Source organism: Homo sapiens, chromosome 16, assembly GCF_000001405.40.
Source record: "Homo sapiens chromosome 16, GRCh38.p14 Primary Assembly".
Lineage (NCBI taxonomy): Eukaryota > Metazoa > Chordata > Mammalia > Primates > Hominidae > Homo > Homo sapiens.
This window is the reverse complement of record NC_000016.10, coordinates 12,625,913-12,651,595: the sequence shown is the minus strand read 5'-3', so window position 1 is coordinate 12,651,595 and position 25,683 is coordinate 12,625,913. Positions and strand designations below refer to the sequence as shown.

The 25,683-nt window shown below is 46.3% G+C and overlaps 1 annotated feature.

The window, feature by feature from the left end:
• Window positions 12,270–12,564: an enhancer, noted in NCBI's record as "tiled region #11276; HepG2 Activating DNase matched - State 10:DNaseD". NCBI's record gives its function as "activates a minimal TATA promoter and a strong SV40 promoter by Sharpr-MPRA in HepG2 cells {active_cell/tissue: HepG2}" and the evidence as "EXISTENCE:reporter gene assay evidence [ECO:0000049][PMID:27701403]".

The window sequence follows — 25,683 nt, the reverse complement described above, 5'->3', positions numbered from 1 at the left end:
TCCATCCAAACACAGGACCAATCGCCAGACTCCAGTTTGCTTCCAGGACTTTATATGGCACCCTGAGGACAGCTCATTCCACCATGTCCCCCACCCATATCATCCTTCCTCTCCATGCAGACTCTAGCTCAATCTGTCAATCCAGTCTTCTGGTTTTTGGGTTTTTTTTCTCTCTCTCTTTTTTTTTTTTTAAGGCAGAGCCTCACTCTGTCGCCCAGGCTGGAGTGCAGTGCAGTGCTGCCGTCTCAGCTCACTGCAACCTCTGCCTCCCAGCTCAAGTGATTCTCGTGCTTCAGCCTCCCGAGTAGCTGGAACTACAGGTGTGTGCCACCACACCCAGCTAATTTTTCTTTTTTCTTTTTTTTTTTTTTTGTATTTTCAGTAGAGATGGGGTTTCATGTGTTGGTCAGGCTGGTCTCGAACTCCTGGCCTCAAGTGATTCACCCACCTCTGCCTCCCAGAGTGCTGGGATTACAGGTGTGCACTGCCACGCTGGGCCCAGACTTGTGTTCTTGTGCACACACACAGCACGCTTCCTTTCCCCCTTCCTGCCCCTCCTTCTCTCAATTTTCCACTGAAGCCCCCAGAGCTCTTGTTTCTGTGAAGCAAATCCCCCTGCATTCTCAGCCTCTCCTCTGAGTCCTGAGCCCCTCTTACTCCTCGTTTTACTTTGTCTGCAACTCCCTCTGAGTAGAAGCTGTTCCCTCCTCCATGTGCCACTTTCCACGATGCCCATAAACCAGCTAGGGGTCTTCCAGTTCCCCAGTGTGCCCTCCACTGCCTTTCACTCATTTCCTTTTTTCTTTTTAGAGACAGGGTCTTGCTCTGTGGCCCAGGCTGGAGTGCTGTGCTCTGATCATAGCTCACCACAGCCTTGACTTCCGGGCTCAAGTGATCCATCCTCCTGCCTCAGTCTCCTAAGTAGTTGTGATTACGGGCGTGCACCACCACACCTGGCTAATTTTTTTAAAAAAATGTAGAGATGGGGTAGGGAGCTATGTTGCCCAGGCTGGTCTTGAACTCTTGGGCTCAAGCTATCCTCCTGCCTCAGCCTTCCAAAGTGCTGGGATTTCAGGTGTGACCCACTGTGCCCAGACTTTACACTCATTTCTACATTAATTCAGCAAATTATCGAGTACCTACTCTGTGCCAGGGATATATCTGATGGCTCCTTCTCATGGAAATCACCCAGTGATTTCCTGGTGACTCATCTCTCTTTTATAGAAGGTTCTTGGATTTGATTAACAGTCTTTCTGACCACCGAAATGTAACCTCCATCCAGGGTGACTTACTGTCCATGGGAACCACCCACCTATGATGGACACCTGTGCAGCATCCATTATGCCTTTTTTTTTTTTTTTTTTTTTTTTTGAGACAGAGTCTTGCTCTGTCACCCAGGCTGGAGTGCAGTGGTGCAACTTTGGCTCACTGCAACCCCTGCCTGCCAGGTTGAAGTGATTCTCCTGCCTCAGCCTTCCGGGTAGCTGGGATTACTACCACGCCCAGCTAGTTTTGTATTTTTAGTAGAGAGGGGGTTTCATCATGTTGGTCAGGCTGGTTTTGAACTCCTGACATCAAGTGATCTGCTTGCCTCCCAAAGTGCTGGGATTACAGATATGAGCCACCATGCCTGGCCCATTATGCCTTCTCACTGTACTTTGGAGGTCCTACTATCCCCGACATTAGTTTCTGTTGTTTAGATGGCACTGGCGTTATCCTGGGCTTTGCCATGGTGGAAGCAGAAGTACCTGTGAGGTATCAGGTGCCACAGTTCTGGCCACATGCCAGGGGTGTCACAGAGGGCCACAGAACCCAAGTCAAACCAAGGATGTGTATCCCAGGCTTCTCGTTGGATGTATTAGCAGAAGATCTCTTTCCACTGGAGTTCGCTGGAAGGGGTGGTGCATGTTTGGAACTGGTGGGGGATCCCACCTAGAAGAGAGCTTACCAAGGAATGTAGCCATCATAGAAGAAACTAGGGAAGAGAAACAGGGAGAAGAGAGAATAAGAAGAAAGAAGCAAGGGACCAGAATGAACCCCTGGGTCTAGCCATACCTGAAGCTAGTCAGTGCCTGGCTGCCAATAACTTTCTTTCTTTGCTTCAGTCAGTTTTCTGTTGTTTGCAAACCAAAAGAGGCCTGATTGCTACAACATTCCACAATGTTGATCTCAAGTCCCATTTCTTGTCCATTCTACCTCTGCAACTGACTCCCATAAGCCAGAGCTAGAGGCTGGGGAGGGGGTTTTAGGCTTGACAAGGGAGTATGTTTTTTGTTTGTTTTTTTTTTTTGAGACAGAGTCTTACTCTGTCGCCCAGACTGGAGTGCAGTGGTACAATCTCGTCTGACTACAGCATCCGCCTCCCAGGTTCAAGTGATTCTCGTGTCTCAGCCTCCCAAGTAGCTGGGATTACAGGCATGTGCCACCACACCCAGCTAATTTTTGTATATTTAGTAGAGACAGGGGTTCATCATATTGGTCGGGCTGGTCTCGAACCCCCGATCTCAGGTGATCCCCCTTGGCTCTTGGCTGGCTGCAATTCCTTACTGGCCAGAGGTCTTTGTTTCTTACCTGCATCTCTTCATAGGCTGCCTTGAATGTCCTCATGACCCCATGACATGGGGATTGGCTTCCCCCAAAGTTAGTGATCCAGGGGAGAGAGAATCCTCAAGATGGAAGTCGTCGTGTTTTAAAACTTAATCTTGAGAGTGACATACCATCACCTCTGCCATATGCAACTGGTCACAGAAACCAAGGCTGGTACAATGTGGGAAGGGATCACACCTTACAGGGTGTAACAGCAGGAGGTGGAGAACATTGGGTGCCATCTTAGAGGCTGGTCCCACAGTCAGGGAGAAAGACAGTAATCAAACATCACACTAACACATATGTCATTGCAAACTGAGCTATGTGCTCTCAAAATACAGCCCATGGTCCTGTGAGAGCATAAAACAAGGGGTCCAACTTAGACGTAGGTGGAAACCAGAGATGAAATTTTGACATCGCCTCTAAGGGATGAGTTGATGAGAGCGGAGGAAAGGAAAAAGGGCATCCTAGGCCATTGGTTCACAACCTTGGTTGCTCATTGGAGTCATCTGGGGAAATTTAAAGAGTACTGTTGGCCAGGCATGGTGGCTCACGCCTGTAATCCCAGCACTTTGGGAGGCTGAGGTGGGTGAATCACCTGAGGTCAGGAGTTCAAGACCAGCCTGGCCAAGATGCTGAAACCCCGTCTCTACTAAAAATACAAAAACTAGCTGGGTATGGTGGCACATGCCTGTAATCCCAGCTACTTGGGAGGCTGAGGCAGGAGAATCACTTGAACCCGGGAGGCGGAGGTTGCGGTGAGTCGAGATTGCACCATTGCACTCCAGCCTGGGCAACAAGAGCGAAACTCCATTTCAAAAAAAAAAAAAATACTGTTGCCCACACTGCCCCTCCAAAGACTCTGATCCAAATGGTCTGGGGTAAAGCCTGGGCATTAGGATTTTTTTAAGCTCCCAAGGCGATTCCAATATGCAACCATGTTAGAAAACAGCTGTTCTAGGATAGGGGACCACCGGCAGAAATGTCTGTTACCAGAGGGAGACTAACATGCTTGAGGAACTGAGGGCCAGGAGGGCTGGAGGGTAGAGAGTGCAGGAGAGTGACGTAGAGTGGGGACGAGAGGTGGGCAGATGGTGGACCTGATGATTCGCCTCAGAGGACATGTTAGGGAGGCTGGGCTTGGAGGGTACAAGGACGATGGGGGAGTGACATGATCCAATGGGCATTTCCAAAAGATGCCTCTAGCTCAGGTTCATGAACAGATTGGAGGGGAGCCCAAGGGTGGGGGTACCATTCTGGAGTGATAGAACCTTGGTCCCAATGGTGACAGGTGATGAGGACTTGGACTAAGGCAGTGACAGCAGGTGACAGCAATATGGTGGGCAGAGTCAAGAGTTCTATGTTGGCTGGGTGCAGTGGTTTATGCCTGTAATCCCAGCACTTTGGGAGGCTGCGGCGGACAGATCACAAGGTCAGGAGTTCGAACCAGCCTGGCCAACGTGGTGAAACCCCGTCTCTACTAAAAATACAAAAATTAGCCAGGAGTGGTGGCACGCACCTGTAGTCCCCAGCTATTGGGGAGGCTAAGGCAGAAGAATTAGTTGAACCTGGGAGGCGGAGGTTGCAGTGAGCCAAGATCATGCCACTGCACTCCAGCCTGGGGGACAGAGTGAGACTCTGTCTCAAAAAAAAAAAAAAAAAAAAAAAAAATTCAATGTTACCAATTCTTATGATCCAATCAAAACCTTTGATTTGACAGATGGGAAAGTGAGGTCAGAGAGATGACAGGGCTCATTCTAGATAATTCCATAATAGGATAAAGCAGAAGGAAAGAGAAACCAACTTGGCCCTAACAACCTGTGGTTTAAATGATAAACAAGACCAGAGGAGAAGAGAAAAGGAAATGAGGATGAGAGCATCAAGCAAAGATAAAAGAAGACACATCCAACGCACACACATACACACATGCTCGCATGCTCACAAATGAGAAGACCAAAAGGTCAGTGGCAAGTTGAAAAATAGATGGTGTAATTATAAAGCTGTCTGAAATGCCAGCCAGGGTCAGCCCTGTGACCCGTCCTTCCGTGCCTGGCAGGGACACTGGGGGAGGGCTGGGGAAAGCTGCCAACCTGCTTGACATTCAGCTTCTATGGCGGTGGGTGGAGGGAGCGTTCCATGCCATGCCTTGCCTCTGTTCTCCATGGCAGAATCTGGGACTTTCTCTCCAAGATAGCCGAAGCCTGTTGACAGCCTGTCCCAACTCTGTAGTCACGTGGAGAAAGGTTATTTCCAGCACCCCACTTTTAGCCACACATTAAACAGATGGGGTCCTTCCTTTTCCGTTGGTAATGATCCCCTGCCTCTAAAGAGGTGACTTTTTAGTGTCTTTCTTGAGAAAAGGAAATGGTGACTCACATCTCACCAGCCTGAAATAATTAGCTTCAGGCAAATGCATGTAGATATGGGTAAATACTTTAAAGTGAAGCCTTCTAATCAGTAGTCTCTACGTTTATCAGGAAACAAGCAGATGGTGTGAGGTTTTCTAAAAAACACAGAAATCAGAAACAAATAGTTCCATGACATCCTGGGTTAGACAGATCATTAATTGGGTACTAAATTCTACCGAAGGCTTAGGGAAGAATATATCATTCTGAAATGTTAGAGCTAGAAGGACCCTCTAAGAAAACGTAGTCTAGGGATGGCCAATAAATGACACTCTCACCATCACATTCCCCCTCATACCCACACCAGGCATTAATAATCTGTCACAGAACTACTGACCGCTGAGTCCTCCTAAAGACAGTATTCCAGGCATGCATTATCAATCACGGTTATCACCCAAGATCTGCATTGTCTTTATATAGTAAAATAAAATTTTAAAATTCAGTGCCTCAGTTACACTAGCCACCTTTCAAGTACTCAATAGCCACATGTGGCTATTGGATAGCACAGAATAGAACATTTCAATCATTGCAGAAAGTCCAGCTGGACAGCCCTAGAACCATATTTCCCAAATGGCAGTCATGTTTAATATATCATCTTCACACTTTTTGCCACATTGACTTGTTTTATTTATTTATTTATTTATTTATTTATTTATTTATTTTTATTTTTGAGACAGAGTCTCGCTCTGTTGCCAGGCTGGAGTGCAGTGGTGCAATCTCAGGTCACTACAACCTCCACCTCTCAGGCTCAAGAGATTCTCGTGCCCCACCCTCCCGAGTAGCTGGGATTACAGGCACGCGCCACCACACCCAGCTAATTTTTGTATTTTTAGTAGAGACGGGCTTTCACCATGTTGGCCAGGATGGTCTCAGATTCCTGACCTCAAGTGATCCGCCTGCCTTGGCCTCCCAAAATGCTGGGATTACAGGTGTGAGCCACCGCACCCGGCCACACATTGACTCTTTTTTACAAAAAAATTATCTAATAAGTAAATGTTTAAAATTATCAAAGGAAATGGAAAGCTAGTTTACTTTTTTGTTGTTGTTTTTTTTTTGAGACCGAATCTCACTCTATCACCCAGGCTGGAGTGCAGTGACACGATCTTGGCTCACTACAACATCTGCCTCCTGGGTTCAAGTAATTCTCATGCCTCAGCTTTCTAAGAAGCTGGGATTACAGGTGTGTGCCACCACACCTGGCTAATTTTTGTATTTTTAGTAGAGATGGGGTTTCATCATGTTGCCCAGGTTGGTCTCAAAGTCCTGACCTCAATGATCCACCCACCTCGGCCTCCCAAAGTGCTGGGATTACAGGCATGAGCCACCACCCCCAGCTAAGCCTTTCTTATTGATTTTAAAGTACCATGAGTTGCACACTCTCATGATTAGCACGGATTGGAACAACCATGAGAGGAAGAGGAGTTTGCTCAAGGTCAATAAACAAGAATGGTGAGAGGAAGGGGGATGGCATGTACACACACACAAACACACATACACACACACACATGCTCGCAGAGGCATTGCAAACAATGGCTATCGGGTCGGTTCAGGTCTAGACTTCTCCAAATTAGATAATGTCTGAGCCTCAGTTCCTTCATCTGTAAAATGGGGAAGGGTGGAACAATCTTGAAGGATCCCTGGAAGTCAGATTTCTCAACCTCAGCAATGTCAACACTTTGGGCTGTATCATTCCTTGCTCTAGGGGCTGTCCCATGAGCTGTAGGATCTTACCCTGGCCTCTATTCACTGGATGCCAGTAGCACTACCCCTCCCCTGGTTGTGACAACCAAAAATGTTTCCAAACATTGCCCAGTGTCCACTGAGGGGCAAATTCACCCCTGGTTGAGAACCACTGCTGAAAGGATGAGAGATGATGTAAGTAAAATAGTTCACGGTGCCTTGTACATAGTAAGTGTTCAATTAATCATCACTGTTGTTGTTGTTATCTGTATTCATATTTTCATTTGGAGCAGGGTCTATTGTCCCCACTTTACAGGTAAGGAAACAAAGCCAGAGCCAGGCTTTGAGCAGAGTTCTGAGTGTTTCCAGCATCTACCTTCCCACCGCACTTGAGGCAGCCCTGCCTAAGCTTGCATAATCTGGACTCCACTGTATACCCCACATCAGCTCCGAAGGACCCAGGTGGTCAGAAAAGAGGTTTTCTGCATTTGAACCGGTTTTCTGCACTTCCATCCAGCCAGTGCATCAGACCAGGCTGATGCAGAGAGCCTCCCTGGAGCTCTCAAGAAATTTCTCAGCAATGCCAGTGTTTGTCCCCCATCTTGAGGCTGACGATGATGCCAAGAAAAGCACAGCTTCTGACCCACAGGAGATGACGTACTGAAGTTTTCAAATTGCTTTATTGCCTTCAACTGCAATGAACTTATCTGACCTCTCAGTGCCCGTGAACAACGTCCCTCTTTCGATGAGCTCATTGGGGGCCAGGATGGTGACTTCCACAGTCAGGGCAGGGCACCGGGGCTGCACTGTGAGGCTGCCTCTTCTGTGTTGATGTTGACTTCCTGAGCTTTATTTGCTCATCCCACGAAATCCACATTGCAACACCCGGTCATATTCCCCCCCTCCACACTCATCCCTCTTCACTTGGTTTTGGACCTATTGCTCTACACTGATATTTTTGCCACAAGAAGCTCTTTGAGCAAAACAGGGCTAGTCTTTAAGTCAGGATGAGAAACACCATTCACTCCCTGCCGTCTTAGCAATTCACAATGCACAGTAGTTCACTAAAGGACCTAAGATGTTCCACAGTAAGGTAATTCATCTGACTGGGTTGTTTTGTTTTGTTTTGTCTTTTTGTTTTTGTTTTTTGAGACAGTCTTACTCTGTTGCCCAGGCTAGAGTGCAGTGGCGTGATCACAGCTCACCAAAGCCTCAACATCCTGGGCTCAGGGGTCCTCCTGCCTCAGCCTCCCAAGTAGCTGGGACTACAGGTGTGCGCCGCCACCTGCCTGGCTATTTTTTTGTATTTCTTGTAGACACGGGGTTTCACCATGTTGCCCAGGCTGGTCTCAAACTCCTGGGCTCAAGCAATCCTGCCGTCTCAGCCTTCTAAAGGGCTGGGATTACAGGTGTAAGCCACCACACCCAGCCCCCATCTAACTGTTTTAAAAACAACTTTTCCTAAGTCGATTTCATCACAAACTCTTTTCCACCATGGTGGCACAGATTGGCTAGCAGTTCATTCAATCCACTTCCTTATTCCAGACACCCCGATAGACAGTCTCCCTTGCAGTTCAATGCAGCCACACGATAGAGTTCTAGCAAGTGGGACAGGAGATGAAGTGACAGGCACCTCTTCCAGGCCTGCCTCGTACACACACCCCATACAGTGCTTCACTCGCTTTCCCTGTCTGCCAGCTGAGTAGAGTGGACCCATGGGAATGAGGAAGTCAGAGCCACAGATGGAAAGAGCTTGAACCCTCGAAGCACCGTGTGGAAGGCTGACTGCCACACACTTGCATGGAACTGTAATGTGTGCCATTGATATGGTGGGATGTTTTATTACTGCAGCTGCCATTACTCGTCCTGACTACTTGCGATGAACTGTTTGTTCCCCCCAGCCCAAATTCATATATTAAAGCCCTAACCCCAATGTGGCTATATTTGGAGATGGAGCCTCTAAGAAAGTAATTAAGATTAATTGAGGTCAAAAGGGTGGGGCCCTGATCTGATAGGATTTGTGTCCTTATAAGAAGAGACACCAGGTTGGGCTTGGTGGCTCACACCTGAAATCCAAGCACTTTGGGAGGCTGAGGTGGGCAGATCAAGAGGTCAGGAGTTTGAGACCAGCCTGGCCAGCATGGCAAAACCCCATCTCTACTAAAAATACAAAAATGAGCCAGGTGTGATAGCAGGTGCCTGTAATCCCAAGCTACTCAGGAAGCTGAGGCAGGAGAATTGCTTGAACCCAGGAGGTGGAGGCTGCAGTGAGCTGAGATCATGCCACTGCACTACAGCCTGGGCAACAGCAAGATTCCATCTCAAAAAAAAAAAAAAAGAGAGAGAAGTGATGACACCAGGTTGGGCTTGGTGGCTCATGCCTGAAATCCAAGCACTTTGGGAGGCCAAGGCAGGAGGATCTTTTGAGGCCAAAAGTTCCAGACCAGTCTGGGCAGCACAGCAAGATCTCATCTCTACAAAAGAAGAAAAAAAATTAATTAACTGGACATGGTGGCATGCACCTGTAGTCCTAGCTACTCTGGAGCTTGAGGCAGGAGGATCACTTGAGCCCAGGAGGTTGAGGCTGCAGTGAACTATGGTTGTATCACAATCTTGGTGCAACAGATTGCACCAATCTGCTGCTCCAGCCGGGGCAACAGAGCAATACTCTGTGTCTAAAAAGATTTTTAAAAAGCAGAGACACCAGAGTGTCTGCTCACTCTCTTTGTCTGCACGTGCACCAAGGAAAGTCCAGGAGAGGACATAGCAAGAAAGCAGCCATCTGCAAGCCAGGAAGAGATTAAGTCACAGAAAGTGAATTGGCCAGCACCTTGACCTTGGACTTCCAGCCTCCAGAACTGCAAGAAAAAAAAAATCTGCTGCGTAAGCCACTTAGTCTACGATGTTGTGTCATGGCGGTCTGAGCAACAAATGCATTACTACAACATGTGACACACAAAAAAATCAGTGTGATCAGTGTTTTCCAGCTCACACTGTGAGAATGTGTGCCTTACACAAATAGTTCCCTTCAAAGTGAACATTCAGTGGTATTTGGACAGGCCCCACAGGTAAATGTTCACCGAGATCCACACGGTGTCCAAAATGTAGCTGCGCTATAGCTCCCTCAAGTATTGTATTATTTAAATGGGAATATTATTCAGCCTTTAAAAAGGACTTCCTACCCTCTGTGGAAGGGTACCTGGAGGACATTATGCCAAGTGAAATGAGCCAGACACAGAAACAAAAACACCGCATGATCTCACGTATATGTGGAATTTTAGAAAGATAAATACATACAAACAGAGTAAAATAGTGGTAGCCAGGGGTGGGGAAGTGGGGAGATGGTGGCCAAAGAATGTAAAGTTGGAGTTATGTGGGATGAATATGTGTATATTCATACAGTAATTTTTTTTTTTGAGATGAATTTTCGCTCTTGTTGCCCAAGCTGAAGTGCAATGGCATGATCTCGGCTCACTGCAACCTCCACCTCCCCAGTTCAAGCGATTGTCCTGCCTCAGCCTCCTGAGTAGCTGGGACTACAGGCACCCGCCACCATGCCTGGATTATTATTATTATTATTGTTATTGTTATTTTTAGTAGAAATGAGGTTTTACCATGTTGGCCAGGCTGGTCTAGAACTCCTGACCTCAAGTGCTCCACCCGCCTTGGCCTCCCAAAGTGCTGGGATCGCAAGCATGAGCCACTGAGCCTGACCTGATACACTATTATAATGATAGTCCTCATGTGGTATATTACACCTCAATTACCTCTTGAGGTGTAATACACCACATGAGGACTATCATAATAATACTGTAATAGGTACTGGAAATCTGCTAAGAGGGTAGATTTCAAGCACTGCCACCAAAATATATGCAACAAGTGGTGGAAAGCTAACTCAAATCAGCTTAAACCAAAACCAGAAAACTGTATTGGCTCATGGGATGCAAAATGGGCGGTTCACCCAGGTCACGGGAAGGGGAGGGAGAGAGAGTGTGGTCTCAAGGATCTCAGTGTCTCCAAGTCATCCACCTTGTTCCTTTTCGCTATGCCTTCACTCCCTCATACTACAGACTCTTATTTCCATGCACCAGGAAACACAGGTGCTTCCATGCGCCAGGTTCCCATCTTATGATTTCTGTCGCCAACCACAAGAGAATGAATGACTTATTCCTGGCTAGAAGAATCCTCAGGGAAAACCCAGATTGGCTGGCTTAGGTCAAGTGCCTAATTTTGACCAATCAGCTATAGGTAGGGCAGGGCAGGGTAACTTCCAGTAACACAGACAGGGCTGTGGGGGTTCCATTCCTGTGATTGGAGACCTGGCCCCCATGAAGTGTCTCATTCTGAGCTGGCTGTCCTTTGAAGGGGCATGCGCTACATGTGTCCTGAGCACCATGGCTGTTTGGGAAGGCACGTACTGATACCTGTGTTAGTTTGCTGTTGCTGCTGTGAGAACTTACCATAAAATGGGCAGCTTAAAACAACAGAAACTGGGCCGGGCGCGGTGGCTCATGCCTGTAATCCCAGCACTTTGGGAGGCCCAGGAGGGTGGATCACCTGAGGTTGGGAGTTTGAGATCAGCCTGACCAACATGGAGGAACCCCGTCTCTACTAAAAATACAAAATTAGCAGAGTGTGGTGGCGCATGCCTGTAATCCCAGCTACTCAGGAGGCTGAGGCAGGAGAATTGCTTGAATCTGGGAAGTGGAGGTTGTGGTGAGCCGAGATCGCACAATTGCACTCCGGTCTGGCCAACAAGAGCAAAACTCTGTCTCAAAACAAACAAACAAAAAAAAAATAGAAATTTATTTTCTCACAGTTCTGGAGGCCAGAAATGTGAAATCAAGGTGTGGGAAGGGTTTGGAAGGGTTCCTTTCTTCTAGAGGGTCCGAGGGAGAATCTGTTCCATGCCTCTCTCCCAGCTGTTGGTGGTTGAAGCAATCTTTGGTGTTCCTCAGCTTGTAAACTATCACTCCAGTCTCTGCCTCCGTCTACACGTGAGTTCACATGGCTTTCTCCCCCGTGACTGTGTATCTTAAATTTCCCAGTGTTTTCTCTTATAAGGACAATAGATATTGGATTTAGGACCCACTTGGATAATCCAGGATGCTTCCATCTTGAGATCCTTAACTTAATTGCATCTGCAAAGACTGTATTTCCAAATAAGAGTCCATTCCCAGGTACGTGAGGTTAGGAAGTGGACATATCTTTTTAGGGAACACTCGTTAGTGCATACATGAGAGTACCAGCTCTATTCCTTCAGGGACATATTGGATAATTGTACTTTTATATAAAAAGGATTGAAAAGTGGCCAGGGCTGTTTTTATTTTTTCTCTCTCATTTTTCAAGGTAACATTTGCTGACCTAAATAAGACATTCTACATCACTTAAGTGCTTTGGAAATTATAGATTTAATGAAGAAAAGACAAGCGTTTGGGGAAAAGCTTCAATGTCATCTTCTTCAGGAAGTCCTTTTTTGGACACCCCTTTTGCTCTGTTTATTGAAATTTATTGTTTTTCTGGAGGTTCCCAGGGTGGACACAGCCACCCAGACCCTCCTGTTTGAAGATTACCTGCTCCACCAATGAGCAGGCTACTTGACTTTCTAGCCATAGCTGATTGGTCAAGAAGTAAACACGTGGTCCAGCCTGGGCCAACCAGATTGTCTTTCCTTGGAGGAGTCCTGTTGCTATCTCGGCTGGTCTCCTCCATGGAGATGGTATGTATCAGTCATGGAGATGGTATGTGTCTGAGTCAAGGATCGTCATTTTCTGCCCTGTGCTCTGAAGACAGATTGACGATGAAGAAAGAGGCAGATGCACAAAAGGAGGCAATGATGAAAGAAGGAAAGACAGGCCTGGCTTTGATGCAGAAAATACTTTGTCCTACTTCCTATTTTTCCTGGGGGAGGGCTAGCTACATTGTCTGCACTTTGATGACAGGCATTACATGAGGCCCCTGGATCCCTATGTCAAATTTCCTCCATTTAAAAAAATTGCTTAAAGTAGCCTTGAAAGAGTGTGTTAACTGTCACCAGAGAACCCCAGAGAATTCTCTTGTCTGTTAGCCAATTAACTTCCTTTACCTTCCAGTGCACTGCTCCACTTTTCTCTGGACCTTCATTTCCTCATGTATAAAATACGAATAATAATAGCTACCTCAGAGGATTGTAATAAAATTAAATAAGATGATAAATCTGGGACAGTTTTTTTCTGGGATTGTTTTTTAAAAACTATTAATATTATATATTACCTCTTTTCTGTTTGACTGTGAATTACTTAACGGCAAAAACCATGTCACTGTTTTTTTCTTTTTTAGAGACAGGTCTTGGTCTGTCACCTAGGCTGGAGTGCAGTGGTGCAATCATATCTTACTTCAGCCTCAAACTCCTGGGCTCAAGAGAGCCTCCTCCCTTAGCCTCCTGAGTAGCTGGGACTACAGGATGTGCCACCACACCTGGCTAATTTTTAAAAAAAAGAGTTTTGTAGAGACAAGGGTCTTATGATATTGCCCAGGCTGGTCTCAAACTCCTGGGCTCAAGGGGTCCTCCTACCTAGGCCTCCCAAAGTGCTAGGATTACAGGCAGAAGCCATCTTGCCCAGCCGTTTAAAAAAAAAAATTTGGCCGGGTGCGGTGGCTCACACCTGTAATCCCAGCACTTTGGGAGGCTGAGGCAGGAGGATCACTTGAGGTCAGGAGTTCAAAACCAGCCTGGCCAACATGGTGAAACCCAATGTTTTCTTTCATTTTGTCTCCACAAAAAAATACAAAAATTAGCCAGGCATGGTGGCGGGCACCTGTAATCTCAGCTACTCAGGAGGCTGAGTCACGAGAATGGCTTGAACCCCGGGGGGTAGAAGCTGCAGTGAGCGGAGGTCATGCCATTGCACTCTAGCCTGGGTGACAGAGCAAGACTTTGTCTCAATAATAAATAAATAAATAAATAATTTTTTAAATCTCCAGCTCCTAGCAGGGGATTTGGCACCTACTAGCGTGCCTGATAAAGGTTTGTTCATGAAATAAATAATTGATATTTGATGAATTCTTCCTACAAATGACCTCATTTAATTCTTACAGCCCCTGGAGAGAGAGATATTATTAACTCTATCTTACCAATGAGGAAACAAGGGCTCACAAAAACTGGGTACAGTTCTCAAGGCTGCACAGTAAGTGGTTGAAGCGGGGTTTTTCTTATTATTATTTTTAATTTGAGATGGATTCTCACTCTGTCGTCCAGGCTGGAGTGCAATGGCATGATCTCGGCTCACTGCAACCTCCGCCTCCCAGGTTTAAGCGATTCTCCTGCGTCAGCTCCCGAGTATCTGGGATTACAAGCGTATGCCACCAAGCCCGGCTAGTTTTTGTACTTTTTTGGTAGAGATGGGGTTTCACCATGTTGGCCAGGCTGGTCTCGAACTCCTGACCTCAGGTGATCCGCCTGCCTCAGACTCCCAAAGTGCTGGGATTACAGGCGTGAGCCACCGCGCCTGGCCTAAAGCAGGTCTCCAAGGCACTTCTCTCTGCCCTCTGAGCCTACACTCATGACCATCACATTAGACTGGACACAGGTGGGCTTCAAGGCACGGTAGCCACTCCATGAACCTGGGAGGAGGCATTTACAGCACAGAAAGGGCAGGTGGGCTGCCTGGAAGCTGGAGGCTGAACACTCTGCTGCCCTGTATCTGTCATAGCAAGAAGCCTAGTGAGCTGGGAGCTGATCTGGGAACCCGCGGTCTGAACTCCAGCTGCCCAGGCTGCAGGGCCGAGGCTCCACATTCCACATGCTCAGCATGCTAGCCTCCCGCTGTGGCGGGACCGGTGACAGATGCACTCCGAGAACCAGCAGACACCTCTGTGCTCGCCCACTTTAATTAGGTGAAGGTGTCAAGACCCATTAGGATCACCTAGAAATACGACGCCGGGCCTGTGCTCCACCCACACATGCTCCAAATCACTGCCTTCCCGCTGAAGCTACTGTTTCAGTAGCATCTCTTTATTTGTAGTTAGTTCTTAAAAAGTTTTTAAAAATCCTCCCACCTCAGCCTCCTGAATAGATAATACAACCACATGGTAAAATTTTCAAACAGCACCGGAAGATACATTATAAAAATCAGCTGGACACAGTAGCTTAAGCCGGTAATCCCAGCACTTTGAAAGGCCGAGGTGGGAGGATCCGTTGAGCCTCGGAGTTCGAGACTAGCCCAGAGAAACATGGAGAATCCTCATCTCTATAAAAAATAAAAAATTAGCTGGGCAAGGTGGTGCACGCCTATAGTCCCACCTACTTAAGAGGCTGAAGTGGGAGGATTACTTGAGCCTCAAAGCTGGAGGCTGCAGTGAGCCATGATAGTGCCATCGCACTGCAGCCTGCCAGGGTGACAGAGCAAGACCCTATCTCAAAAATAAATACAGGAATAAATAAATAAATAATCAAATCTCACTTTTATCACTGACCTGCAACGCCACCTCCCCACAAGTCATGACTATTTTAACTGTCCCTTGTGTATCCTTCCATAAGTGGTTTTTTTTTTTTTTTTTTTTTTGAGATGGAGTCTCGCTCTGTTGCCCAGGCTGGAGTGCAGTGGCACGATCTCAGCTCACTACAGCCTCAAATTCCCAGGCTCAAGTTCAAGTGATCCTCCTGCCTCAGCCTCCCAAGTAACTGGGCCCGCAGGCACACACCACCATCATGCCCAGCTAATTATTTTTATTTTTGTAGAGACAGGGTCTCTATGAAAATATGAATACTCATGTCTAGGAATACGTATATCTAATTTTTTTAAAAAGGCACACAATTATTTTAATAAGATATTTGGAAGTGGCTCAAAAGCACAAAGAATGCTACATTCTTTCCATGGTGTTTATTACATCATTTCCGTATTGTGTGGATGGATGTCTATGCTGTATGTGGTCATTCGTTATCACAAACAATACCTCAGTGAGCTCTTTACATCCTCAGTCCTTGCTTTATGTGCAGTATATTCACAGAAAAACAATTCCTTGCAGTAGAATTGTTGGATCAAAGTCTAAGCTTTTTTCTTTTTGTTTGTTTGTTTGTTTGTTGTTTTTTTTGAGACAGGATCTTGCTCTATTGCATGGGCTAGAGTGCAGTGGTGTGATCATAGTTCACTGCAGCCTCCAACTCCTGGGCTCAAGGAGTCCTCCCACCTCAGCCTCCCAAATAGTTGGGACTACAGGTGGGTGCCACTACACCTGGCTAATCTTTTATTTTTTTTTGTAGAGAAGGGGTCTCGCTGTGTTCCCCAGCTGGATGTGTATTTTTTTTTTTTTTTGAGATAGAGTCTCGCTCTGTCATCCAGGCTGGAGTGCAATGGCGCGATCTCAGCTCACTGCAACTTCCTCTTCCCAGGTTCAAGCAGTTACCCTGCCTCAGCCTCCCAAGTAGCTAGGATTACAGGCGCCCACCACCACGCCCGCCTAATTTTTGGATTTTTAGTAGAGACGGGGTTTCACTGCCAGGCTGATCTTGAACTCCTGACCTCAGATGGTCCACCCACCTCAGCCTCTCAAAGTGCTGGGATTACAGGCATGAGCCACCGCGCCTGGCCTGGATGTGTATTTTAAATTTGACTAGATATTACCATCCAGTGTAATGTCACCAATTCATGATTTCCTAAAAACGTGTGAGTCTCTAGGACAGATTCCACTTCACTCTGTTTCCTGATTTTTGGGTCCAATTTGTCTCATGGAGATTCCACAAACGTTCCCCTCACTCCAGCCAAGCGCCCGACTCTAGGCAAATCCTCTCACACAAGTTATAAAGCAGAATTATGAGTCTGGCTGGTAAAAGATCTTTTAAAAAATTATTTGCATAATATAAATAATGCATGCTCATATAAGTAATTGACAAGAGCTTCCAGTGGTGAAGGGAAATGTTTAGGAAATAATATTAAATGACAAAGGCAGAATGCAAAGAGTGGTTCTTAATCTTGAGTGGGTATACCAGCACACCTGAGAACTATTGGAAAATATGGATGCTGAGATCCCCAGCCCTGGGGATTCTGTTCAGTAGGCTTGGGATAGAAAGAGCAAGGGCAAAAGTCAGTATTTTTATAAGCTTGCCGTGAGAGGCTACGTACCCACAAAATGTTATGTATTCACTATAATCTCAAATGTGATCAAAGAACAAAAATCGAGGAACCCGTCCAAGAGTAAACAATGCTTTACTGGGCTTGGTGATTCTGTAGTGAGATTTTTCCTCTGGGTTTTGCTATGGTTTTCCAAATTTTCCTGCTGAGAAATGTTGATGTTCAGACAATAAAAGGATGTTCTAAAAATGTGGAGGCTCCCTCCCTCTCTCCTTTCCTTTTTTTTTTTTCCTTTCCTTCCTTCCCTCTTCCCTCTTTCCCATCTTTCTTTCATTTTTGTCTTTTCTTTTCCTTTTTATACAGAGTTTCACTCTGTCGCCCAGGCTGGAGTGCAGTGGTGTGATCTCGGCTCACAGCAACCTCTGCCTCCTGGATTTAAGCGATTCTCCTGCCTCAGCCTCCCAAGTAGCTGGGACTACAGGCATGTGCTACTATGCCCGGCTAATTTTCGTATTTTTAGTAGAGATGGGGTTTCACCATGTTGGCCAGGCTAGTCTCAAACTCCTGACCTCAGGTGATCTGCCTACCTCAACCTCCCAAAGGGCTGGGATTACAGGTGTGAGCCACCACACCCAGCCCATCGTTTCTAGTTCAGTCCAGACTGGAGACGAAAGAGACAGGAAGATTGATGAGAGCATGCGATCCTGAGCTGTGTCCCTTTGCTCTAAAGAGCATCACTGGGACAATTATCAAAACTTGAATAAGGTCTCCAGGTGAGAGGTATATGGAAGTTCTTTGTTCTAATATCACAGTTTTTCTGTAAGTTGGAAGCTTCAAGGCTTTATGGAAGCATCTCACCATCACTTTGCTAAGAGTTTTCTGGTTGGGCACTGTCGCTCACGCCTGTAATCCCAGCCCTATGGGAGGCCAAGGTGGGAGAATCACTTGAGGTTAGGAGTTTGAGACCAGCCTGAGCAACACAGGAAGACTCCATCTCTACCAAAAATACAAAAATTAGCTGGATGTGGTGGCATGCACCTGTAGTTCCAGTTACTCAAGAGGCTGAGGTGGGAGGATGGCTTGAGCCCGGGAGGTGGAGGTTGCTGTGAGCTCCCAAGTAGCTGGGATTACAGGCGTGCACCACCATGCCTGGCTAGTTTTTGTATTTTTTAGTGGAGATGGGGTTTCACCATGTTGGCCATGCTGGTCTCGAACTATTGACCTCAAGTGATCCACCCACCTCAGCCTCCCAAACTGCTGAGATTCCAGGCATGAGCCACCACGCCCAGCTTGGGTGACAGAGTGAGACACTGTCTCAAAAAAAAAAGAAAAGAAGAGAAAAGAAATTGACGTTGTCATCGTATTACGATCTAATCCACGGATTAATTTTCCCAAGAATGTATCTTATATCAAAATTTTAAGAATTTTTCTGGCTCAGGATTCCATCCAGGATCATCCATTGCATTTAGTGGTCATGTGCCTTTAATCTCCTTTCACCTAGAATGTTCCTCAGCCTTTCACGACATTGAAGGTTTTGAAGAGCGCAAGCCCATTATTAGGTACATGTCCCTCGATGCTGTTTGCCTGGCATGTTCTCGTTATTCAGTTCAGGTTTTGCATCTTTGGCAAGATGATCACAGGCTGATTTTGTTTTGCCTTCGCATGCCAGGTGAAGCCCATGATGTCGGTTTGCCTTGTTTTGATGTTGTTAACTTTGATTACTCAATTAACAGTACTGCCAGATTTCTCCAATGTAAAGTTGGTACTCGTTTCTTGGTAATCGACAAGTAATATGCAGGGAGATATTTTGAGATCATGTAAATACCCTGTTTCTCATTAAACTTCCATCCTTTAATTTTTGCCTCCATCAATGATTCTCCACTGGAAAAAAAGTATTCTTAGGATGGTTGCAAAGTGTTTCTGCATTCTTGAAGATTTAAAGCAAGCATGTATGAAAGGACCTTTGACATACTGGCTTTATTTCAAGGAGGATATCTCAAGGAAACAATATGAGATGTAAAGAAAGATTTAGATATAAAGAATTTCATTGCAACAGTGCTTATAAGAGTAAAACTTGGGAATAACCTAAGTGAAGCAATACGGTAAATTGATATCAACAAATACGAAGTAACCTTTAAAACAATGTTTTTGAAGAGATTTCCACCACGTAATGCTTAGTAAGGTGGTAAGTAATGGCAAGATATTAAACCACATTTGGCTAAATGCAATGTGAGATGCTGGATTGGATGGTGGAACAGAAAAAGGACATCAGTGGAAAAGCTGATAAAATTCAAATAAAGCCCATAGTTTGGTTAATAGTAATGTGCCAATATTAATTTCTTGTGTTTTATTTAATAAATATACCATAGGCATGTAAGATATTAATATTCAGGGGACTGAGAGATAAAGAATTGTCTCTACTATCTTTGTAAGTTTTCTGTAAACGTAGAATTATTCCAAAATAAAAATGTCATTAAAAACTTAACCTGGAAGTGTTGAGTGTTGGAAATGTTCATTATCTTTTTTTTTTTTTTTTTTTTTTTTTTTCGAGATGGAGTCTCGCTGTGTCTCCCAGGCTGGAGTGAATTAGTGCGATCTTGGCTCACTGCAACCTCTGCCTCCGAGGTTCAAGCAATTTTTCTACCTCAGCCTCCCGATTAGCTGGGATTACAGGCACCTGCCACCACACCGGCTAATTTATGTACTTGTAGTAGAGACAGGGTTTCACCATTTTGGCCAGGCTGATCTCAAACTCCTGAGCTCAAGTGATCCGCATGCCTCAGCCTCCCAAAGTGCTGGGATTACAGGTGTAAGCCACTGCACGCGGCCATGTTCATTATGTTGACTGTCATGGGTGTATACAAGTGTGAAAACATATTCTATTATACAGATGAAATATGTGCTGTTTAATTATGTCAATTATCCCTTTTAAGTCAATTATAGCTGAATAGGTGTTTTCTTAAAAAAGGAGAAAAATGCTGTATTTGGTAAGCTCCTAATTATGCTAAAGTATATGCATAGGAAATAAAAACCAGCTGAAAAAATATCAGTGTTAATGGATGCTGGTGTCTGTGGCTAGTAGGATTACAGGTGATTCTAATTCTTATTTTTTTGTTTTTATAGAGACAGAGTTTCTCTCTGCCAGTCAGGCTGGAGTGCAGTAGTACAATCATAGCTCACTACAGCCTTGAAGTCCTGGGCTCAAGTCATCCTCCTGCCCCAGCCTCCAGAGTAGCCGAGACTGCAGGTGCATGCCACCACACCTGACTAATTTTTTTATTTTTTATTTTTTTGTAGTGATGGGGTTTCACTATGTTGCCTGGGCTGGTGTTAAACTCCTGGTCTCGAGGGATCCGCTCACCTCAGCCTCAAACTGGGATTATAGTCGTGAGCTACCACACCTGGCCACTATCATTTTTATTTTTACAATTGGATGTAGTTTTCAAATTCTGCATAATAGGCATGCAAGACTTGAATACAGACGGGAGCCACTGTGTTCAAACAGCCTGATGTGCGATAATAAACCGTTGCTTCCGTGTACGTAATGTGTCTGCCTCAAGGTTGGAAGTGAGAACTGAGATCCTCCCTTGGCTTGTTAAGACAATGAGATAAAACACAAAGAAAGAACACCCCTCATAGATGAGACCTCTCTCATCTCCTGGTAATAAAGAGCTTGGAAGTAGACACACCAAGACCTGGATCCAGGAGGAGGAGGCCTCTGTGTGTGTCACGGTGGGAGGAGACGGTATTCGATGCTCGTGAAAATGCAGAGTCCCAGGCCCCACCAGCAGCAGCGCTGGCTCTGGGGTGGGGCCAGGGAATGTTTCTTAACCACCCTGGGTAAAGCCAACACAGGTGGTGGAGATCCAGGCTCTGTCCTGGGACCCAAGTTTGCCACGGACTTGCACAAGCCTGGGGCAGGTGTGGATCGTATTAACCAGCCCCTTCTAAATCTTCCAGGTTAAGGCCCAGCTGCACCTCCCTGGATTCCCCACAGCCCCAAGAGTAGGTTCCTTGGAAGTCAGAGAGGTAAATAGTCCCTTTCTCCCTCTCCCCGCAGACCTCAGACAAGCTGTGTGCATTTCTCCGGTGACCCAGCCCTGGAGCAGGCTTCTGAGCTGCCACTCATTCGGGGGACTCAGGGAGTGTTTAAGCACCCTGGGTGAAGCCGACACAGGTGGTGGAGATCCAGGCTCTGCCCTGGGACCCGAGTTTGTCACGGGCTTGCAGAAGCCTGGAACAGGTGTAGATTGTATTAACCAGCCCCTTATAAATACTGCAGGCCCATGCCCCGTCGTTTCTCGCTGGATTATCCACGGCTTCGGTAGTACGTTCCTGTAAGTCAGAGTGGTAAGTAGTTATCTTTCTCTTTCCTGCAGGTTTTAGGTAAGCTGTGTCCATTTGTCTGCGTGACCCGGTCATGGAGTAGGCTCCTGAACTGCCAGTCATTAGGGGGACTCAGTTGGCCACTGAAGTTCAGGAGGGAGGAGCGAGGGGATTGCTTGAGAGAAGCTTGGTGTGGTAGGTAGAGGCAGAAAGTCTGAGGGAATTAAGGCTAGGGGGAGGCTGGATGGGCTTGGTCATAGTACAGCAGGGACGGACAGAAATCGGCAGTAGGGGCCCAAGGAAGCCTTTTTTCTTCTTTTTTTCTTTTTTTAAGGCGGAGTTTTACTCTGTCATCCAGCCTGGACTGCAGTGGTGCAATCTTGGCTCACTGCAATCTCTGCCTCCTGAGTTCACACCGTACTCCTACCTCAGTCTCCGGAGTAGTTGGGACCACGGGTGCCCGCCACCATGCCCGGCTAATTTTTTTGTTTTTTTAGTAGAAAGTGTTTCACTGTGTTTGCTGGGATGGTCTATTTCCTAATCTCGTGATCCACCCGCCTTGGCTTCCCAAAGTGCTGGGGTTAGAGGTGTGAGCTACTACGCCTGGCCAAGAGGCCCTTTTTTTGTTCAGATAGTCATGCTGTATCACCCAGGTAGGAGTGCAGTGGTGTGATCTCAGTGTCTGCTGGTTGCAACCTCCGCCTCGCGGGTTCAAGCGATTCTCCTCCTTCGGTCTCCCGAGTAGCTGGGATTACAGGTGCCCATCACCACGCCTGGCTAGTTCTTAGATTTTTAGTAGAGATGGGGTTTTGCCATATTGGTCAGGTTGATTTCAGTTGCTCCACCTGCCTCGGCTTTCTAAAGTGCTGGGATTACAGGTGTGAGCCACAGTGCCCAGCCCTGGGAGAAGCTTTCTTAAAAGTGGGGGCTACTCATTCTGAGCACTGTTCTGGGAGACGGTGGGCGTGCAGAAAGAGCGGCAACCCCGTTACTCCTCCCCGCTGCAGGCAATGATTTAACTAGAAGGCAGCTCCAGAGACCGCTGTATTAGGGGAGTGCCCACTGCTTCCCGGGTCATGATTCATCCCGAAGGACCCAAGAGTCTAAGTCTGAGCTCTGTCAGCCTCTGTACTTTTGCCAGCTCCCCTTGAGCAGGTCTCCCAAAGTGCTGAGATTCCAGGCATGAACCACCATGCCCAGCTTGGGTGACAGAGTGAGACACTGTCTTTAAAAAAAAAAAAAAAAAAAGACGTTGATATGGTACTATGATCTAATATACGGATCAATTTGCCCAAAAATGTATCTTACATCATAATTTTTAGGAATCTTTCTGGCTCAGGATTCCATCCAGGATCATGCTTTGCATTTAGTGGTCAGGTCCCTTTAATCTCTTTTCACCTAGAATGTTCCTCAGACTTTCACGACATTGAAGGTTTCGAAGAGTGCAAGCCCATTATTAGGTACATGTCCCTCGATGCTGTTTGCTTGGCATGTTGTCGTTATTCAGTTCAGGTTTTGCATCTTTGGCAAGATGATCACAGGCTGATCGTTTTTTGCCTTAGCATGCCAGGTGAAGCCCATGATGTTGATTGGCCTTGTTCTGACATTAACTGTTCTGCCAGTTTTCTCCAATGTAAAGTTGGTACTCATTTCTTGGTAGTTGACAAGTAATATGCAGGGAGATATTTTGAGATCATGTAAATATCCTGTTTATCATTAAACTTCCATCCTTTAATTTTTGCTTCCATGAATGATTTTTCACTAGAAAAGTATTCTTGGGATGGTTGCCAAGTGTTTCTGCATTCTTTAAGATTTAAAGCAAGCATTATCAAAGGACGTTTGACCTGGCTTTATTTCAAGGAGGAGATACCAAGGAAACAATGAGATATAAAGAAAGACGTAGATACAAAGAATTTCATAGCAGCAGTGCTTATAAGAGCAAAACTTGGGAATAATCTCCAAGTTAAGCAATAAAGTGAATTGATATCAAGAAAAATGAAGCAACCTTTAAAACAATGTTTTTGAAGAGATTTCCACCACACAATGCTTAGTAATGTGGTAATGGCAAGATATTAAACCGTATTTGGGTAAATACAGTGTGAGATGTTGGATTGGATGGTGGAACCGAAAAAGGATGTAAGTGGAAAAGCTGATAAAATTCAAAAAAGCCCATAGTTTGGTTAATAGTAATGTGCCAATATTTCTTGGGCTTTAATAAATATAAGCATGTAAGATTTTAATATTCAGGCGACTGAAATAAAGAATTGTCTCTACTATGTAAGTTTTCTGTAAACTTAAAATTATTTCAAAATTCATTAAAAACTTAGTGTTGGAAATGTTCATTATCTTTTTTTAGATGGAGTCTCGTTGTCTCCCAGGCTGGAGTGCATTGGTGTGATCTTGGCTCACTGCAACCTCTGCTTGGCTCCCAGGTTCAAGCAATTCTACCTCAGCCTCCCGAGTAGCTGGGATTAGAGGTACCTGCCACCACCCAGCTAACTTATCTACTTGTGGAGACGGGGTTTAACCATGTTGGCCAGGCTGATCTCGAATTCCTGAGCTCAAGTGATCTGTCTCCCTCAGCCTCCCAAAGTGCTGGGATTACAGGTGTGAGCCACTGTACCTGGCAATGTTCATTTTCTTGTCATGTGTGTACACAAGTGTGAAAAGATTCTATTATACAGATGAAACATGTGCTGTTTAATTGTCAATTATCCCTTTTAAGTCAATAACACTCTAATAGGGTTTTTAAAAAAATGCTGTATTTGGTAAGCTCCTAATTATGCTAAAGATATGCATAGGAAATAGAAACTGGATAAAAAAAGTGTTAATGGATGCTGTTGTCTGTGGCTAGTAGAATTACTGGTGACTGTAATTTTTATTTTAGTAGGGACAGCTTATCTCTGCCAGTCAGGCTGGAATGTAGTGGTACAATCATAGCTCACTACAGCCTTGAAGTCCTGGGTTTGAGTCATCTTCCTGCCCCAGCCTCCAGAGCCGCTGAGACTACAGGTGCATGCCACCACACCTGACTAATTTTATTTTTTGGAGAGATGGGGTTTTATGTTGCCGAGGCTGGTCTCAAACTCCTGGTCTCAAGCAATCCTCTCACCTCAGCCTGAAAGTGGGATTACAGTCGAGAGCCACCACACCTGGCCACTATCATCTTTATTTTTATAATTGGCTGTAGTTTTCCAATCCCCATAATGGGCATGTAAGACTTGAGTACAGAGGGGAGCTGCTGTGTTCAAATGGCTTGATGTGCGATGATAAAGCATTGGTCCCTGTACGAATGTCTGCCTCATGGTTGGAAGTGAGGACCGAGATCCTCCCTTGGCTTAAGACAATAGGATAAAACACAAAACCTGTCACAGCTGAGAGCTCTCTAAAGTAATAGAGCTTGGAAGTAGACACACCAAGACGTGGATCTAGGAGGGTGGAGGTGGTCTCTGTCAGGGTGGGAGATGATATTCGATGCCCATGAAAATGTAGGGTCCCAGGTCCTACCAGCAGCAGCGCTGGTTCTGGGGTGGGACCAGGGAGTGTTAAGCACCCTGGGTGAAGCTAACGCAGGTGGTGGGAGACCCAGGCTCTGTCTTGGGACCTGAGTTTGCCATGGGCTTGTACAAGCTTGGAGCAGGTGTGGATCGTATTAACCAGTCCCTTAGTAATTTTCCAGGCTCAGGCCCAGCTGTACCTCCTTAGATCTGCCACAGCCCCAGGAGAACGTTCCTAGAAGTTAGAGGTAAGTGGTCCCTTTTTCCCGTTCCCACACACCTCAGACAAACTGTCCATTTCACTGGTGACCCAGCCCTGGAGCAGGACCCTGAGCTGCCACTCATTCGGGGGACTCACTTGGCCACTGAAGTTCAGGAGGAGGAGTGAGGGGGCTGCTTGAGAAAAGCTTGGTGTGGCAGGATGAGGCAGAGGCGGAGTGTCTAAGGGGATGAGGGCCAGGGGGAAGCTGGATGGTCCTGGTCACAGTGCAGCAGGGACGAACAGAAGCCAGTGACAAGGGCAGGAAGAAGCCCCCTTTTTGGGGGGGGGTGGGGACAGTCATGCTGTGTCACCCAGGCTAGAGTGCAGTGGTGTGATCTTAATATCTGCTGGCTGCAACCTCTGCTTCCCAGGTTCAAGCAATTCTCCTGCCTCAGCCTCCCAAGTAGCTGGGATTACAGGTGTCTGCCACCAAGCCTAGCTAATTTTTAGTAGAGACAGGGTTTTGCCATGTTGACCAGGTTGACGTCAGGTGATCCGCCTGCCTCAGATTTCCAAAGTGGTGGGATTATAGCCGTGAGCCACGGTGCCTAGCCTGGAAGAAGGCTTTCTAAAAGTGGGGGCTATACACTTTGAGCACCGTTCTTGGAGACAGGGTGGGCGTACAGAAAGCACGACACCCGCTCCCCTTCTCTGCAGGCAATGACTTAACTCGGAGGCAACTGCAGAGACTGCTGTATCAGGGGAGTCCCCACCACTTCCCGGGTCATCATTCATCCCAGGAGACCCGAGAGTCTGTCCAGGCTCTGGCAGTGCCTGTGCTTTCACTGGCTCCCCTGGCACAGGCCCGTGCTGCTCCCTCCAGCGAGTCTTGAGGAAAACATCTAGTATGGCCTTAGCATAAAAGTCTGTTTGGGAGT